The following is a 20,707-nucleotide window of genomic DNA, read 5'->3' on the forward strand; positions in this document are numbered from 1 at the left end:
CCACTGAAAAAAGTTCTATCCCTTTTATATTTGTCCTTTAGGTTAAAATCAAGGTGTTGGTGAGGCTGTGTTTTTTTTTTTCTCGAGGATCTGGGAGAGAATACGTTTTCTTAAAGCCATTTCTTGGCTTATGATTGCCTTCCTCCTTCTTCAAAGTCAGCAAGAGTGGGTTGAGTCTTCATTTTTGTTACCCTGCTTTTGTTGTTGTCACATCTCTTTCTCTGATTCTAGTCAGGGAAGTTTCTCTGCTTTTAAGGACCCATGTGAGCCATCTCAACAATCCAGGATAATTTTTCCATTTCAAGGTCCTCATCTTAATTACATCTATAAAGTCCTCTGCCAAGTAAGGTGACATAGTCACCTCAATACAAAGGACTTAATTCACATAGTGCAGAATCTGGAGATGTGAGTGAATGAATGGGAGAAGAAAATGGGAAAATATTTCCTGGAGGATTTGAGCAGAAATGCGCTGCAGGAGTTATAGTAGGAGTTGTCAAAAGACAAAATTACAATAAACTTAAAAATTGAATTGGCTTTTATTTGTGATTCTGGAATAGAGCAAAACGTCATTTTATAAAATAGAATGAGTTGGGCATGATAGAATGGCTGGTTTTTGTAAGGTGGGGACATGAAAACAGAAAAATTAAAAAAAAGTGACTGGTTAACATCAAGTCACTACAGGTTCCCTTTCTTGTAAGTGTTGAAGCAAAGAGGACTTCCTTAAATGATGCTGACTTAGATCGACTGTGCTCTTTCTGATAGAGTTCTGTGAATCTCCTGTTTCCAGGAGAAACTGGCTTAAAGTACAGTTTGATGGTGTGGCATTTAGCAGGCACTGACCCCATTTTTATTTGTTTTGGGCTGCGGGGGCCTAGGCAGGACACTAGTCTAAAGCAATGGATTCCATAAATTTTATCATAGGAAAAAGAAGAAAGGGGATTCTAAAAGTTATTGCTGTGGACTGCGTGTTTACTTTGAGATGTTAAAGAAATACCATAAGCAGGTGATTATCTTGAACTTAGGTTTTAGTTATGTTTCAATTTATTTGCTCTGTAGTTCTTTAATTGGACCATGGGAATCACAGCCTCAATAGGGTTACACAGAGTGTTAAAAGAAAAACCTTAGACAAATTAAATATAACAGAGTTTAATTGAGCAGAGGAGGATTGTTGCATTGGGCAGCCTCTCAGGCCAGAGTAGAGGCAGAGAGACTCCAGCAGAGCCACGTGGTGGAAGAACATTTATGGAGAGAAAAAGGGAAGCAACCTATGGAAAACAAGTATGTGAGATATGGAAACAGCCAGATTGGTTATAGCTCTGGGTTTGCCTTATTTGAACGCAATTTGAATAGTTGGCTGTCTTTGATTGGCCAAAACTCAGTGATTGGAACAAGAACAGATTACAGTCTGTTTATATATCCAGTTAGGTTACAGTTACCGTGCACAGAGAAACCACGAGGCCAAGCTTTGAATATATAAGGAGACAGCTTTGAGCTAAATTTAACAAAAAGGTATGCATGTTTTGAAAGGATAGGGCCACAAAATAACAGATATTATGGGAGAGAGAAAGAAATAAGTGAGAGAAAAGGAGAAGGAAAAGAGAAAGCAGGAGGGGGAAAAAGGATGGATATGAATAAAAAAAAGGGAGGAAGACGTAAGATAAACTACTTATTTCAACATTCTGACTAAAGTAGAACCCTGCAATCTGAGTTGTTTGTATCCAGATTCAACTACTCAGAGTCACATTTAAAGTCACATTTTAGGCAAGGCAAGACCACAGATCAATTTGCTAACCTTACATTTTAAAAGTCTTAACCACTAGTTTATTTTGGGTGCCATGGAAACAAATAACTGGCTTTACTAACCAGACACTTTTAAGCTGGTGGTTTTGGCTAGGTGTAGTCACAGCTAGAATCAGGGACCAAAACCGAGCCTCAATCATGACTAAGCAGATGCAGAGATGTTCAATAACAAGTGACATTTTCATCTTAGACAAAGATTACAGATTACAGGTTCTCAAATTTCAAATTTTGGCTTTGTCATTAGATGATAATTCTACCTCTGGTGTATCGTTTCGTTTTTGCTCATCCTTTTCTGGAAACAGTAGCAATTTTCATGCAGAGACTGATCTTACGACCAGGTAGCTGATGTTTCACATTTATGAGTTAGATGCTGGTTTGATTTTTTTGTTTGTTTAGTCTCTAGCCATGTCCTCAGAAGCTCATTATAGAGAAAGTAGAAGTTATAATAACTAAAAATTGGAACTATAACTCTTACACTTTCAAATTAATACAATAAAGTGCAGATGAGTACCAGGGTTTTAGAAGACTCTACTCAGGGCCGCAGAAACCAAAATCAAAACAAGGCAGGACTCCTACAATTCAGTGAATGATGATCTGGTGCATAAGACCAGCAAAATCATAAATCATCACCGTGCAAGTCAGAAAGTGATCATTATAAACTAAGTAATCTCTGAGTACAAAGAAGAAAAAAAAGAAAAGGCCACTGATTAGGTAGTTTATTTTTAATTCTATAGCTTATTTTTTCTTATCCTAAGAGATTATGTATGTGCAGATTATTGAGCAAACACCAAAATTAGTCCTCCATAATCTGCTAAAAGATAACTACTCTGCCATTTTATTCTCTTTCAATTTTTGTCCTCTTATAGTTTTACTTGAGATTTAGCTGTGTAATTTGTATCTCACTTGTCTTTTTAAAAAATGTCATAAACACTTCCCCATGTTTTTAGAAACTTTGTCGATAATATTGCAAAGTCTCTATAAAATTTATGTATAATTTTTAACATCCCTTATTATCGAATACATAAATGGCTTCCTTTTTGGTTTAGTTGATTTTTGTTATTGTTGTTATGAGAAGTAACAGTGCAATTAATACCTTTGATGTTAAGAATTTGCTGCATTATTTTGTTTCCTTAAAATAGTTTTCTGGAAATGGACTCTTGAGTAGAAAAACTTAAGGCTATAAAGGGACAGATATGAAGTGCATAGTGTTCTTGGCACAGGTAATAGCACAGTCAAAAGCAGGCTATTTCACTGGTTATGAAAATAGTTGTGAAAAAATAAACTTTGTAGAAACGATTTTCCACATAGGTCCTAGGTTAACATGTGAATATAGAGTCTTCTATTTATGAAAAAGCAAAAACAAAAGGCCTGGATTTTTTTTGTCTTTGTTTTTGTTTAGAAAGGGTCTTACTCTGTGGTCACCCAGGCTGGAGGGCAGTAGCAAGATCACAGATTACTGCAGCCTTGACTTCCTGCTGAGCTCAAGCCATCTTCCCACCTCAGCCTCCCAGATAGCTGGGACTACTGGTGCACACCACCACACGTGGCTAATTTATTGTGTTTTTTGGTAAAGATGGGATTTGACCATTTTGCCCCGGCTGGTCCTGACCTCTGCATGTTTTAAATTATAAATGACACTGTGAATCCCTGACTATAGCATTGGACAGATATAAGATGTCTTAGAATGGGAGAAAGAGAAAATTTACAGCTAGTCTGCTTGTGCAGAGTTGTGAATTATAAGTAAAAAGTGATTTTAAGACAAGAGTGAGTGGGATGGGAAAGCTGCTGTGCATCATTTCCTCATAGAGAATATTCAGATAGCTAAACACAGTCGGCTTTGATTAAAAAAAACAAAAAACAAAACAACAACAACAATGACAAAAAACAAAAAGAAAGACCCAATGATAACAAAGAAAATTCATACAGAGGATCTTAAAAGAAGCTTATTTCTCTAGAGGTGAAATAATGGAAATGGAAGAGGAGCTATGAACTGGAGTAACCCAGGAATGAGCCCTTGAGGCGGTTTCTTTAGGTTAGAAAGGAGAGTTCATAAGAACCCTGGGATGAATCTCTGGAGAGATTTAAAGGCAGCTGAGCTTGGCTATTGAATGACATGAAACCCTAAAAATACAATAGGGATATCTCTTTCCAGGTCAGGAAATACCAGTGTGCCCCAATCTATTCACAAAGAATGGATAGCTGAAAGTCCTTACTATCAGCTGGTAATAGCAGCAATGAGAGGAAAATACTAGGCTAGGCTGTGTTCTTCAGCCAGAAATGATCCCCTTTTTACCTTCGGATAATAGCAGCAAAGGGAAACACATCTGCCAGCACACTAGGAGTTACACATGGAGCTCCATTTGGTTTGTTTCAATGATTTAAACAAAAGAAAACAAATAGTGCTAGATCGGCATTTTCCTGGAACTAGAACTGCTCTTTCTTGCAGGGAAACCACTGCACATTCTAGGTGGGACTGAACTTTTCCTCCAGCCAGAGGGGTTAGCAGCAAGCATGGTCTTGAGTAACTAGAGTATCCAACCTTCTGGCCACAGTGAATGATTTAAGGATGGGCTTAATACCCACATCAGGACAGTCAAGGTCTGTGAAGGTTTTTTTTCAGTAGAAAATATCATCAAAAACTCTTATCCCCAGGTTGACCAGTAGCTGTTTTTTTTGTTTTGTTTTGTTTTGTTTGTTTTCTATTTTGTGGCCTGAGAAAGAAGAGAAAATCCTGATGTGCTTTAAAAATCCCTGCATCTATTCACGCCTGAAGCCGTTATCTTTGATCTTCCCAGTCATTTAAGCCAGATCGGATAGTTTCTGCCAGCTACGACTGAAAATGTACTGACTAATACATGTTGTGTTTTCTTGTGTGCCACAGAAAAGAGTTTGTCAAAGAAGAGGCAGTACATATTTAGAAGACTCTGTAGTGAAGGGAGAAAATAAAGTATACTCCCTCTTGACTCATGAAGGATGCTCAAGTACCTGAAAATTCTCCTGATAGAAGAGCTTTCCCTGAACGAGTTCAGGACGTTATGTAACAACAATAAGACTGGATGATCAAATATATGTATTTATTAAGTTTGTAAAAATCAAACAAATTTAAAACTGAGTAAAGATATTCTTGTTGATTTTTAAAGCAAGCTTTAGTATAATATTTTACATACAATATCCTATATGCAATGGATATACAATTAATGTATGTATACTATTACTTGCTTGCTGAAAATTTTTAGATTTCTGTGTCCCTTGAACTTCCATAAAGTGGTTGTAATTTTTTTTTTTGCATTATTGCATACTAGTAAGCATTGAATCTAAACCTCTTTCCAAATGTTCATCACTTTCTAGGTTTAATGACTTTGAGTCACTCATCCATGCCTAGATCCAAGATCTCTCCAATTATGCAGAACAATCTGGACACTTGAGATGGAAAAAGCTTCAGATAACCTTTGCAATTATTTCCCCATGTCTTCCCCAATACTGGTTTCAACAATCTTCACTCTTCCCCTGACATCCTCAGACCATAGCTCAAATTACCAAGATTTCTGGGCATGATTGCCCTTCTCATAAGCTCTAGAGTGCTTCTTTGTTTTCTCTCGCTTCTATTTCTATTCTTGTTCTGACATCACTGAGGTTGTTTGGCAGTTTAGCTATCTACGGGCTGCTCGGAGGAGCTGATTTCTTGGGGTGCTGCCTTGAAGGCATCAGAAATTAATATATCTACCTCCTTCCCCTCATGCCTTAGATGCGTTTTGCCTGGTTTACATGAGACTCTCTATAAAAGGAATCTGGACAAATTGATGTCAAGGTTACTTAAAGGGAATCTCTGTTCTGGAATACAAAACATTAAGTTAATTAGGGAGATTTTGGTATTCAGGTGAATGATGGCGGCCTGAGTTCTTTGTACCATTTTAATGAAACAGACATTATTATAAAATTGGTGTCAAGAAGCTTCATTTTAAATTTGGTTTCACCCCGTCTCCAGGAGCTACACAAATTACCCAGGTGCTTTTGTCAAGGCTCTCAAAACTCTAAGAACCTTGAAGAACCTTAGCTCTGGTGCAGTAATGTGAAGATCTGGCATAGCCCTCTGTATGGTGGCAGAAAACTGAAACAATATAGAGCTCATTCCCTTCCCCTTGAAATTCACAGATCCTTCAGAAAATAGATATTTGATATTTGATATATTTGATATAGTTTCTCGTTCTGCCTGTCTCTTTGGCCCTACTGCAGAAATTGTCACACTTTGATGGAAAATAAATTCTTTGAAGATAAAATCATCACCTAGGGAGCTTGTTACGATGCAGATTTCTGAGCTCCCCTGCCATACATTCTACATCAGTGGGTCTGAAGTAGGTCTAGGATTTAAATTCTTAACACACTTCCCAGAAAAGTTATATTTTGAAAAACATTTCCACAGGGAGTAGAGCACCAAGCTGTGCCAGGAAAGCATGGGGATTCTTGTATTCCCTGCCAAGCTCAGGTTGGAGATGGGATATCATACTTTCCTATTAGTGTGCTTCCAACAGACTTGACCAAGATCATCCCAACAGAAAGGGCCAATTACTTATGGATTCAGATTTCCACCCATGTTTTACCTTTGACTCCTTAGCAAGAACATGATTTGCAACATAGAAAAAACATCTGGCAGGTTGGCATTCCAGTGTGTAATCTAGTTTTAGGCTAAGCAGAACTCAGATGCAGCAGTAAGGATTTGTGGGCTGGTGCCCAGTAGTTACAGTTGGTGAGAAGAGTTCCACTCTGTTTTACTTGCTCATGTTTTGTGGTCACAATCAGATCGTTTATCAGCATCATACATTTGTCCAGCATAATTTCTCTTCTCCACTCTGAGTTGACATTTTAATGGATTGTTTATAGCCAACATGGTAGCAAGATACAGGATGTTGATTCACTGTTAATTTATTTCAGCTAGGAAGATTACCAAAGCAGCATATCTCTTTGATATGGTTTGGCTCTGTCCCCACCCGTATCTCACCTTGAATGATAATATTCCTCATGTGTTGTGGGAGAAACCCATTAAGAGGTAATTGAATCACAGGGGCGGCTTTTCCCCTGCAATAATGAATAAGTTTCATGGGATCTGATGGTTTTATAAAGGTAAGTTCCCCTGCGCATGACGCATGACCTCTTGCCTGCTGCCATGTAATACATCTCTTTGTCCTTCCTTCATCTTCTGCCATGATTGTGAGGCCTCCCTAGCCATCTGGAACTGTGAGTCCATTAAACTTCCTTCCTTTATAAATTACCCAGTCTCAGGTATGTCTTTATTACCAGCATGAAAATGAACTAATATACTCTTGTTTGTTTTTTGTCATTGTGAGCAACCTGGATAGATGGAGCTTTCCCTGCCTTGTTCTCACCTGTCCTTTGATTGTCTGACTTTTCTTCCATAAAAGCTTTCATTTGGTACACTAGTTAACTTGGAACATAATATTTATTATCACTAAAAGTTAGAGTAATTGAGCTAAGCTAGCAAACTCAAGACCTACTTTTTTTCAAAAAGTCAAAGTGAATGTAAAATGTCCCAATTTTCCTTAGAAAAATAGCTTGATAAAGGTCGTGTAGCTAATTAAATCTCAATTTGCCTATTTAGCACCTCAATTATTTTGTATTTTTATTTTTTTCCAAGGTCCCATAGAATCAGTTGGCTGGAAAAAAAATTAGCAAAGTGAATTTTAAAATTCAAGTTGTAAGTAATATCATTTGGCTTAGACGTGAAAGCTGAGCAGATAAATTGAAGCTGGATACCCCTTCTCTAGAGAGAAATGGAGAAGGGCTAGTACATTACTAACTTTGCTATGGTATCTGAGTTTATTATATGTTTATGCTGCTGACTTAAGTACTTCATACAACGAAAATGTAGCAATAACGAGTTGCTCTTTAGTCTACTGTATGTGCTCTGTTTTCAACTTGGCAAGTAGCATTACTGCACAGTGGATATAGTCTGGAAAATGTGTTTGCAAATTGAATTTTTTAAAAAGAAATCACTCATTTTCTGAAGATAGGCAATTTTTTTTTTTTTTTTTTTTTTGCGATGAAGTCTCGCTCTATCACCCAGGCTGGAGTGCAGTGGCACGATCTGGGCTCACTGCAAGCTCCACCTCCCCGGTTCATGCCCGCCATTCTCCCGCCTCAGCCTCCGGAATAGCTGAGACCACAGGCGCCCGCCACCACTCCCGGCTAATGTTTTGTATTTTTAGTAGAAATGGGGTTTCACCGTGTTAGCCAGGATGGTCTCCATCTCCTGACCTCGTGATCTGCCCACCTCGGCCTCCCAAAGTCCTGGGATTACAGGCATAAGCCACGGCACCCAGCCGGCAATTTTTAAGAATAATTCTGTGGTGATCTTTTTAAAGGTGAAGCCAGAAATTTCTTTATAAATTCAAATTGTAATGTTTCCTTTTAAGAATATTATTGGTTGCTATGTTATGGTATATAAGGGAGAAGAGAATGTAATCTAGCTATCAAGAGACCTGCATTCCAGTCCTGTTGCTCTTCCATTATTTTGCTCTAGAGTTGAGAGATGGCATTAGAGGATCTTTGAGGATACTTTTACTTTTAAAATTCCAGGATTTCAATTTCAAATTTTTGGTGACTGGCTTTGTTCAAAATAAAGCATTAACACTCAATAGATGGCAACATATCCTGAAGCTGCACCATCCAATACAGCAGCCACTAGCCACATGTGGCAATTGAGCACTTGAAATATGGCTGGTCTAAACTGAGAAGTGCTGTAAGTGTGAAGTGCACACTAGATTTCAAATGTTTGATAACAAATTGTGAAATATCTCATGAATTAATAATTTTTATATTGATTATGTTACTGTGATATTGTTACCAGGGGGTCTTTGCTCCCAGAGCTCCCAAGATGGTGGCGGGCCACTTCCAAGATGGTGGCAAGCCTCACGTTCTCTGACCTGGGGTTCTTGGCCTCACAGATTCCAAGGAATGGAATCTTGGACCATGCAGTGAGTGTTATAGCTCTATCAGAAGCCGTGGGTCACAGAAGAGAACCATGGAACCCAGTGACTAGTGTTCAGCTCGGTTAGGACGACCCAGGCACTTAGCCTTGCAGGAACAATGGGAAGCCTTTAGCCGGATAGGGAGCAGCAATGGGCGCCTTACTGGATCAGGAGCACAGCAGACACCCTGCCGGATCCAGAGGGATGGAAGTCAGTGGCGGGTCTGCGACGGTGGCAAACAGCAGTGGTGGACGGCTAGTGAAAGCTCAGCTCGAGCTGTAACAAACACGGACCAGAAGAGTGCAGTTGCAAGATTTAATAGAGTGAAAACAGAGCTCTTATAAAAACGGAGGGGACCCAAAGAGGGTAGCCATTGCCTGCTCGAATGCCTGGGTTTATATCCCGATCATTGTCCCTCCTACTGTGCTCTCAGGCAACAGATGATTGGCTATTTCTTTTTTTTTTTTTTATACTTTAAGTTCTAGGGTACATGTGCACAACGGGCAGCTTTGTTACATATGTATATATATGCCATGTTGGTGTGCTACACCCATTAACTCATCATTTACATTAGGTATATCTCCTAATGCCTTCCCTCCCCCCTTCCCCCCAGCCCACGACAGGCTCTGGTGTGTGATGTTCCCCTTTCTGTGTCCAAGCGTTCTCGTTGTTCAATTCCCACCTATGAGTGACAACATGCGGTGTTTGGTTTTTTGTTCTTGCAATAGTTTGCTGAGAATGATGGTTTCTAGCTTCATCCATGTCCCTACAAAGGACATGAACTCATCTTTTTTATGGCTGCAGAGTATTCCATGGTGTATATATGCCACATTTTCTTTATCCACTCTATCATTAATGGACATTTGGGTTGGTTTCAAGTCTTTGCTATCGTGAATAGTGCCACAATAAACATACATGTGCATGCGCCTTTATAGCAGCATGATTTATAATCCTTTGGGTATATACCCAGTAATGGGATGGCTGGGTCAAACGCTATTTCTAGTTCTAGATCCTTGAGGAATCACCACACTGTCTTCCACAGTGGTTGAACTAGTTTACAGTCCCACCAACAGTGTAAAAGTGTTCCTATTTCTCCACATCTTCTCCAGCACCTGTTGTTTCTTGACTTTTTAGTGATAGCCATTCTAACTGGTGTGAGATGGTATCTCATTGCGGTTTTGATTTGCATTTCTCTGATGGCCAGTGATGATGAGCATTTTTTCATGTGTTTTTTGGCTGCATAAACGTCTTCTTTTGAGAAGTGGCTGTTCATATCCTTTGCCCACTTTTTGATGGAGTTGGTTTGTTTTTTCCTTGGAAATTTGTTTGAGTTCTTTGCAGATTCTGGATATTAGCCCTTTGTCAGATGAGTAGATTGCAAAAATTTTCTCCCATTCTATAGGTTGCCCGTTCACTCTGATGGTAGTTTCTTTTGCTGTGCAGGAGCTCTTTAGTTTAATTAGATCCCATTTGTCAATTTTGGCTTTTGTTGCCATTGCTTTTGGTGTTTTAGACATGAAGCCCTTGCCCATGCCTATGGCCTGAATGGCATTGCCTTGGTTTTCTTCTAGGGTTTTTATGGTTTTAGGTCTAACATGTAAGTCTTTAATCCATCTTGAATTCATTTTTGTATAAGGTGTAAGGAAGGGATCCAGTTTCAGCTTTCTACATATGGCTAGCCAGTTTTCCCAGCACCATTTGTTAAATAGGGAATCCTTTCCTCATTTCTTGTTTTTGTCAGGTTTGTCAAAAATCAGACAGATGTAAACGTGTGGTATTATTTCTGAGTGCTCTGTTCTTTTCCATTGGTCTATATCTCTGTTTTGGTACCAGTACCATGCTGTTTTGGTTACTGTAGCCTTGCAGTATAGTTTGAAGTCAGGTAGCATGATGCCTCCAGCTTTGTTCTTTTGGCTTAGGATTGACTTGGCAATGCGGGCTCTTTTTTGGTTCCATACGAACTTTAAAGTACTTTTTTCCAATTCTGTGAAGAAAGTCATTGGTAGCTTGATGGAGATGGCATTGAATCTATAAATTACCTTGGGCAGTAGAGCTATTTATGACAAACCCACAGCCAATATCATACTGAATGGGCAAAAACTGGAAGCATTCCCTTTGAAAACTGGCACAAGACAGGGATGCCCTCTCTCACCACTCCTATTCAACACAGTGTTGGAAGTTCTGGCCAGGGCAATCAGGCAGGGGAAAGAAATTAAGGGTATTCAATTAGGAAAAGAGGAAGTCAAATTGTCCCTGTCTGCAGATGATATGATTGTATATTTAGAAAACCCCATCGTCTCAACCCAAAATCTCCTTAAGCTGATAAGCAACTTCAGCAAAGTCTCAGGATACAAAATCAATGTACAAAAATCACAAGCATTCTTATAAACCAATAACAGACAAACAGAGAGCCAAATCATGAGTGAATTTCCATTCACAATTGCTTCAAAGAGAAAAAAATACCTAGGAATCCAACTTACAAGGGATGTGAAGGACCTCTTCAAGGAGAACTACAAACTACTGCTCAATGAAATAAAAGAGGATACAAACAAATGGAAGAACATTCCATGCTCATGGATAGGATGATTGGCTATTTCTTTACCTCCTGTTTTTGCCTAATTAGCATTTTAGTGAGCTCTCCTTACTATCTGATTGGTCAGGTGTGAGCTAAGTTGCAAGCCCTATGTCTAAAGGTGGAAGCAGTCACCTTCCCAGCTAGGCTTAGGGATTCTTAGTTGGCCTCGGAAATCTAGCTAGTCCTGTCTCTCAATATTATCTTGGATATACTGGATTCAAGAAAACATATCAAAGTGAATGCCATGCATTTCTTTCTTATTTTAAATGTAAACGTTTTATTTTATTTAACTTTTATTTTTAGATTTAGGGCATACATATGTGCAGGCTTGTTACAAAGGTATGTTGTGTGATGCTGAGATTTGAGGTACAATGGAACCCATCACCCAGGTAGTGAGCATAGTACCAAACAGGTAGCTTTTCAAACCTTGTCCCCCTCCCACCCTCCCCATTCTTGTATTCTTCAGTGTCTATGGTTCCCATATTTATGTCTATGTGTGCCCAGTGTGTAAACATTTTACATTTAAATAATTTAAATTTAAGCAATTAATAAGAATCTGGTAAACAATCTAATAAATAGAAAATTTAAACTTACTTATGGCTTACATGATATTTTTATTGGGCAGTGCTACTCTAAAGGGACAGCACATCCCGCAAAGGACCTCTCCTAAAGAGCAGAGAACTTTTCATTACTGGTGTTGTTCAAGAAAAGCCTTGATGATGTAGAAGAGATTCTTTGAAGGTAAGATGAAAGCATTATTTCTCAAAGTACAGTTCACAGAACACTAGTCCTGTGAGATACACCACCACAGTCAAGCAAGTTTAGGCAACACTGTGCTACTAACCTCCTCCTTCTGATTCCCAACACTCATTAGCATAGTGAAAGCTCAAAGAAGTTACACTGTAGTGAAACTTACTTTCCTTGAGTTAATCCACTTTTTTTTTCCAAATTCGTTGGAAAAAAAATCCTTTTAAAAATATATTAATGATACCTAATAGCTGCCTGTAGAATCAAGAAAGTCACTTTGAAAAATGCTGGTAAATTAGATAATTACTAAGTCCCTTTTGTCTGTTGTATGTTTGTAGGCAATTTGTAAGAACTCATTCTAGGAATTAGGTGTAACTGCTTCTGTGTATACATGCTTCTATTCTAAAGAATCTTTCCCCTATTCTATGTAAAATGTTTTCCTTCACTTTTCTAAGCTACTTGAAATATCATCAGTTGGATGTATTTGTGTTATCAACAACCCTCTTGAAAAAATTCCTAACTTGCCCTACTCTTCAAAGAAGGTATAAAATCAAGAGTTCAAGGAGAGGTACTGCAATGTGTGAGAGATATATAGAAGTATAGGCGAGGGGATGCTAAAAAGACACCTGCCCTTTCTGAAATGTTATGGTTAGTGCATTCCCTATCAGGAAAAGTGCTGTGTTATGGGTTAAATAGGTTGCTGTGGACTCGCTGGGGAGCCCAAATATGATTTATAACTTTGTTTTCCAGGGAAATTGCATTCAGCATTCCAAAAAGCCAATTTACAAGCAAATGTTGGGAGCATAAATTGTAAGTTAGACACTACTGGTGTGTATATAGATTGACTCAGAACCTCAGGGAATAGAAGCAATCAATATCCTGTGCATTGCTTCAATGCACAATCTTGCTTTTTGCAATAAGCTCTTTGCTTCTTCAAACAGCAAGAAGATGGACAGAAAGACAGAACAAAAGTTTTTATAACGGTATCTGCAGGATCTCATAAATTGTAAAGTAACATCAACAATCAAGAAGCCCTCATCAAGAATTTCCCTGGATTACAAACAATGAGGTTTTATTCTTTTCTTTTTTTGAGATGGAGTTGCGCTCTTGTTGCCCAGGCTGGAGTGCAGTGGTGCGATCTCAGCTCACTGCAATCTCCGTCTCCCAGGTTCAAGCGATTCTCCTGCCTCAGCCTCCCAAGTAACTGGGATTACAGGCGCCTGCCACCACGCCCGGCTCATATTTTTCTGTAGTTTTAGTAGAGATGAGGTTTCGCCATGTCAGCCAGTCCCGTCTCAAACTCCTGACCTCAGGTGATCTACCTGCCTCGGCCTCCTAAAGTCCTGGGATTACAGGCGTGAGCCACTGCGTCCGGCCAAGGTTTTATTCTTAAAGATACTCCTTCATAAAATAAACCAAGTTATTTTTTCTCATAGAATATATAAGAGTAGGTAGACATACACACATGCGAGCAGCCCAAACTTACAAAGCCTCAAACATCCATCTGCAGTTTTTAAGGAAAAATACATTTATTGGATTCACAAGGCATTAAATTACACATTGACTGGCAGTGGGTGTTTATTGATTGGACCTACTTCAGGTCAGGGAGCCTGAAACGGGGCAAAAGCAAGGAGAATTTAAATGAAACTATTATTTTAAAATAAAATATTTATACTTTATTAAAACTGGAAAATATATTAAATATAAACCCATGCTGAGATGTGGAACATTTGTTTTAAATGGTTTCAGAAAGTTTCTCTTTGACCTGCCTTCTTTGCTGAATGTGCAAATGAAAGATATGTTTTGTTTTCTAATTTGCATTACAGAGATAATGATTTATGTACAGTAAGTAAACCACTTTTCGGTGAGTCTTAACAGATATATATGGTCATTTAACCACCGCTACAGTCATACCTTTGGATTCCTCTGTAGTCCATTCCTGCCCATTATCTGCAGCCTCTGGCAAACACAGATCTGCTTTTACTGTAGTTTTGCCTTTTCCAGAGTTTTGTACAAACGAAATCTTATAATACTTACGTAGTAACTTGCGTTTGACTTCTTTTACTTAGCATAATGCATTGAGATTCATCCAGTAGTTTGATCTTTTTTAAAAAAATTGTTTAGTAGTATTTCTTGAAGGAGATATACCATAATTTGTTAATTCATTCACCCATGATGGAAAACTGAGTTGTGGCTAGTTTTTGGTGATTATGAATAAAGCTGCTGTAAACGTCAACAGACACATCTTTATGTGGACATAGATTTTTATTTCTCTTGGAAGATATTTAGGAATAGAATTGCTGGATCGTATGTGAAGTTTATATGCTTAACTTTAGAATTAACTGCCAAACTGCTTTCCTAAATGGTTGTTCCGTTTCATATTCATACTGGCAACGTATGAGAGTTCCAGGATGCAGACATCGTCACAGAGGTGTACTGCATCTTTTTGAATTTTAGACATTATAACCGTTGCATACTGATAATATATTGTGGTTTTTAATTAGCATTACATTAATGGCTAATGACATTGAGCACCTTTTCATGTAATTATTTATCTTTTGCATATATTTTTAGTGAATTATATATTCAAAACTTTTGCTCAAATTTTAAACTTGTCATTTTTAAACTTTTAACTCAGTTTAATTTTCCTATTATTGGGTTTTAAGAATTATTTATGTATTCTAGAAATAGATCCTTCGTAAGATAAATGTTTTCCATGTAGTTTTTCCTAGTCAGGCCTAATGCTGCATATTCTTAATGTCCTTTAGAGTAATACACTTTTAATTTTTCTTTTAAGATGTGTTCTTTGTGTTTGATGTTAAAAATTTATACCTAAGCCAAGGTCCTAAGGATTTTTTCCCTATTTTCTTGTGAAAGTGTTTTAGTTTAGTTGTTACATGTAGGTAAATGATCCACTCAGAATTAACTTTTGTATATGGTTTGAGGTATGGGTTGAGGTTTATTTATTTGTTTATTTTGCATATGGCTATTCAATTATTACAGCATAATTTGTTGAAAAGAATATCCTTTCCCCATGGAATTACCCTGGTACATTTGTCAAAAATCAATGGGCCATCTAAGTACAGTTCTATTTTTTTTGTCTTTCTATTCTGTCCTATAGACCTATATATCTAACCTTATACCAATAACAGGCTATCTTGACTAGTGTAGCTTTATAATAAGTATGAAAACCAGGTAGTATAAGCTCTCTAATTTTTTAATCCTTTTCAAAATTGTTTTATCTATTCTAGATCCTTTGAATTTAAATATTTGTTTTAGAATTAGTTTGTTACTTTTACAAAATAGCCTGCTGGGATTTTAACTTGGGGTTTATTGAATGTAAAAATCAAAATGGGGAGAGCTGATATCTTAACAATGTTGAATCATCCTAACCATGGGCATGATATGTCTCTCCATGGATTTAGAACTTTAATTTCTCTAGACAATGTTTCATAGTTTCCAGGGTACAGATCTTGTACATATTTTGTAAAATTTATTCCTAAATAGTATATGTATATGGGTATTATTGTAAATAGATTTTTAAAATAATTTTATAATTGTATGCTGCTAGTATGTAGAAATGCAATTGATTTTGGGGTACTACCTTTATACAACTAATTTTGCTAAACTCATTTATTAGTTCTAGTAGTTTTTCTTTAAAGATCCCTTAGGCATTATCTGTATAGATGATCATGTCTTCTGCAAATAAGACAATTTACTTCTCCATTCCCTTGATTTGTTGTGCTGTCTAGAACCTCTGAATAATGTTGAATAGAAGTGGTGAGAGCTTATATCCTTGTTCCCTTTCTTAGGGGGAAAGTTTTTAGTCTTTTATCTGTAAGTATGATGTAGGAATTTTGAAGATACACTTTTTTGGAGTCAGGGAGATCTCTTCTATTTTCAGTTTGCTGAGAGATTTTTTTGTTTTTTGAGTTTTAAGATCAGGAATTGGTATTGAATTCATCAAATTATTTTTATGAATCAATTGAGATTATTATATATTTGTTATATTTTAATCTGTTAGAATTGTGAGTTACATTGATTAATTTTTGAATATTGAATTAATCTTGCAATTCCTGGTATAAACTCTCTTGGTCATGATATGTTATGATATGTGTGTGAATGTGTGTGTGTGTGTGTGTGTGTGTGTGTGCATTCATCTGCTAAAACTTTGATAAAGATTTTTGTGTTCATGTTCAAGAGAAATATCAGCCTGCAGTTTTTTAAAAATAATATGGCTTTTCTTGCTTTGGTGTTAGAGTAATGCTGATATCAGTATAATATGTTGATTTGTACTGGACTTTTTTTCTTCTCTAATATAAGATGTTAGTGTAATTAATTTTATTCTAGCACAGCTTTGGCTGGGTCCCACAAATTTTGATATTTGGTGTTTCTACATTCATTTTGTTCAAAAAATTTTCTGAGTTCCCAATTGATTTCTTCTGTGATTCATGAATTATTTATACGTTATTTAATTTCTCAACATTTGGTTATTTCCCAATTATCATTTTGTTGACTACAGGTACTTTAATTCTTTTAAAGTCAGAGAACATTCTTTAAGATATAAATTATTTTAACTTTATTTAAACTTATTGTCCAGCATGATCTGGCTTGATAAATGTGTACACCTGAAAAAAATGTACTCTGTTTTTGTTCAGTGGAATGTTCTGTAAATATCACATCAGTTTGATTGATAGTTTTGTTTATGTGTTCTATAGCTTTACTATTTCTTAAAATCTATTTGTTCTATCAATTACTGAGAGAAGACTTGAAATATTCAATTATAATTATATATTTGTTTATTTACAATTTCATTTCTATCATTTTCTTTATGTGTTTTAAAGCTGTGTTATAGGTGCATACATTTAGAAGTGTTATGTCTTTTTCAGTTGACCTCTTTATCTTTAGGAAAGGTTTCTTTTGGTTCCTGTTAATTTCCTTGCTCTGACATCTATCTTGTCCAATATTAATATGGCTACTCTGACTTTCTTTAAGTAGTGTTTGTTTAGTATATATTTCAGACTGTTGTATTTTTAATGTATTGTATCTTTTTGTTTAATAAGAATTTCTTGTGGACAGAATGTAGGTTGTTCTCTCTTTATCCAATTAGAAAATCTATGATTTTTAATTAGAGTTTTTAGACAACTCATATTTAGTAAATTCAAAGATGTAATTGAATTCTCTTCTTTTAATCCAATCTGTTCTTTTTTCTTTATCTTTTCCTGATTTTTTTATTAGAATAATTGAGTATTTCTTATGATTCCATTTTATATACACTATTGGCTTTTTAGATACATCTCTTTGTTTTAGTTTTAAGTGGCTGCCCTAAACTTTACAACATATGCATTTAACTTATTATCACTGCCTATCTCAAAATAATATTATGATATTTTACATATAGTTTCAGAAACTTAAAATCTATTCCCACCCTTCCTTGGTGTTAATGTTATTATATATTTTGCCCTAAAAATGTCCTTCTTTAACCTTTCTGGCATTACAGACTGGCTGGTGATAAATTCTCCCAGATCTTTTATCATTATTTTACCTTTATTATTGAAATATCTTTTCACTTGGAATAGAATAGTAAGTTGACATTTCTTTTCCTTCTATTTTAAATATTTCATTCCAATGACTTCCGGCTTGCCTAGTTTTGAAAGTAAAGTTGGCTGTCATTCTTGTCTTTGTTTTGCTGTACTTAATGTGTCTATTTTCCCCATTGTCTGCTTTTTTTTTTTTCTTTTCTTTTTTTTCTTTGAGATGGAGTCTCACTCTGTCACCCAGGTTGGAGTGCAGTGGTGTGGTCTTAGCTCCCTGCAGCCTCTGCCTCCCAGGTCCAAGTGATTCTCCTGCCTCAGCCTCCCGAGTAGCTGGGATTAGAGATGCCCACCATCATGTCTGGCTACTTTTTTGTGTTTTTAGTAGAGACAGGGTTTCACCATGTTGGTCAGGCTAGTCTCAAACTCCTGATCTCAGGTAGTCTTCCCACATTGGCATCCCAAAGGGCTGGGATTACAGGCATGAGCCATTGTGCCCGGCCCCCACTGGCTACTTTTAATATTTTCTCTTTATCATAGTTTTGTAGCAACTTGATTTTGATGTATCATGATATTGTTTTTGTTTTTTACTCCTTAGGTTCTTTTGAGTTTCTTGGATTTGAGAGTTTATAATATGGATTTTTTCAGCTATTATTTGTTCATTTTTTTTTGGTCCCACCATCCTCTTCACTACTTCTGGGAGTCCAGTTATATACATAAGTGTTAGACTGCTTGGTTTTATCCCAGAAATCACTGATGATGTGTTCATTTTTATCTCTTTAGTCTTTTTTCCTCTCTTTTCTTCATTTGGATTATTTCTATCACTATGTCATCAAGCTGGTCAATTTTTCAGAGTCTAATCTGATGTAAATGCTACACAGTGTATTATTATTTCAGATATTGTATTTTCTATCTCTAGAGATTACATTTGGGTCTTGTTTATAACTTTTATTTCTGTCTTCACTCACTATGTTTGTATCTTTCCCTACCTTCTTGAACATATGGAGCATATACATATAATGGCCGTATTAATTTTTTTGTTTGCTAATGCTAGCATTTGTCATGTTTTTGTCTGTTTCTATTGATTGATTGATTTTTATTCTATTTATGGATTATATTTTCCTGCTTCTTTGGCATAGTAATTTTTGACTGGATGCCAGCCACTGTACTTTTTATCTTATCGGGCACAAGATTTTACTGTTTTTGTATAGTGTGTTGGATTTTTTTCCAGCCCAAAATCAAGTTACTTGGACTCAATTCGATCAATTTCAGGCTGCCTTTTATGCTGTGTTAGAGCAGTTACTTAGCATCCTGGTCTGGCGCTAATTTAGACTCACAATTCACACAATGTCCTAATGTCCTGTGTATAAACACAGTGTCTAAGATCCTGTTTATTACTTCTATATTACATGGTATTTTCAATAGTACAAACTATTCTCAGCCTTATTTATGATCCCCCCAAAATTTGACCTACTGCTTTTCTGCACTTCTTGCTTCATCCATGGGTAGCATCCTCTTACCATGTGATCCATACTAAGCCAAACACTGAAAGGAACTCTTTTGTACATCTGCGGAATTTTCTCTCTGTTAAGTTTCCTTTTTTCAGACATTCTTTCCCACAGATTCTTATAAACTTGACCTCCCCCAGTTCTGATTTTTGTCTATTCAACTCAATGAGACAACCAAGTTCTGCGGTGTTTTGTTGTTGTTGTTGTTGTTTGTTTGTTTGACAGAGTCTCACTCTGTCACCCAGGCTGGAGTGTAGTGGCATGATCTGGGCTAACTGCAATCTCAGCCTCCTGGGCTCAAGCGATTCTCCTGCCTCAGCCTCAGCAGTAGCTGGGATTACAGGTATGCACCACCATGCCCAGCTAATTTTTGTGTTTCTAGTAGAGACGGGGTTTTGTCATGTTGCCTAGGCTAGTCTTGAACTCTTGGGCTCAAGTGATTCACCTGCCTTGTCCTCCCAAAGCGCTGGGATTACAGGCATGAGCCACCATGCCCAGGCTTTCCTTTCTTTCTTTTCTTTCTTTTTCTTTCTTGTTTTTCTTTCTTTTCTTTCTTTTTCTCTTTCCTTCCTTTCTCTCTTTCTCTTTTCTTTCTTTCTTCTTTCTCTTTTCTTTCTTTTTTCTTTTTTTCTTTCTCCTTCCTTCCTTCTTTCCTTCCTCTTTCTTTCTTCTTTTTTTCTCTTTCTTTCATTTCTTTCTCTCTCTTTCTTTCCTTTTTATTTTTAACTGTATTGCTTCTTGGAACCTGTCACTTGGCAGTAAGCTGAAGCATTCATAGGGTTTACATCATTTCTTTCCCTCCTTTTAGGGATCAATGCACTGTATTGCTTGTTGTTCAATATCTGAAAACCATTGTTCTGCATATTTTATCTGACGTTTTTTCTGGTTGTTTAATATGTAAGAGTAAATCTGGTCCCTGTTACTCCATAATGGCCAAGTGATGTTATGCTTTTAATACAGAAAATAAAACACTGTCTCTACTTTTTACAAAGTGAACCTTTCTTCCTCGGCATTCATAAAAATGAAGCTCAGCTTCTAAACAACTAATAGTATTAACTTATTTATAATCTTATATTTGAGGAGAAGCCTGGGGCATGAGAGAAATCACCAATTTATATTTATACAGTCTCATGCTCTTCTGTAATTAGTGGTTGAAACTTATGCCAGTGGTTGTTTGGTTTTTAATGTCTGGATTTGTATTCACATATCTAGGGTAGTTTCTGGTGTTGGTGACTCTGTGTTTAACTTAGTTTTTTGACTCAAGAATGACATCCACGTATTTCATTATGCTTCCTTATTAGCTTACTTTTAATAGGAATTGGTTGAACTATATTTCCAAGTATAGATATGAGAGAATCAAAGTGACTAATTCTAGAAGATAACAAAATTTCAAAAATAATTTTTATCTGCTTCCATGTCCCCTACATTGTCTAAAAAGACTTTATTGAAAATGAATCATAGCTAAGTTTACCAATTTGATTCTTTAGTAGGTAGTTGCTTGCAGGAATAGGAATTTTTGACTTTCTTTCTTCCCTCCTGCCCGTCTAAACTCCTTTACAT

The sequence above is a fragment of the Homo sapiens genome, chromosome 12 (genome assembly GCF_000001405.40).
Source record: "Homo sapiens chromosome 12, GRCh38.p14 Primary Assembly".
Lineage (NCBI taxonomy): Eukaryota > Metazoa > Chordata > Mammalia > Primates > Hominidae > Homo > Homo sapiens.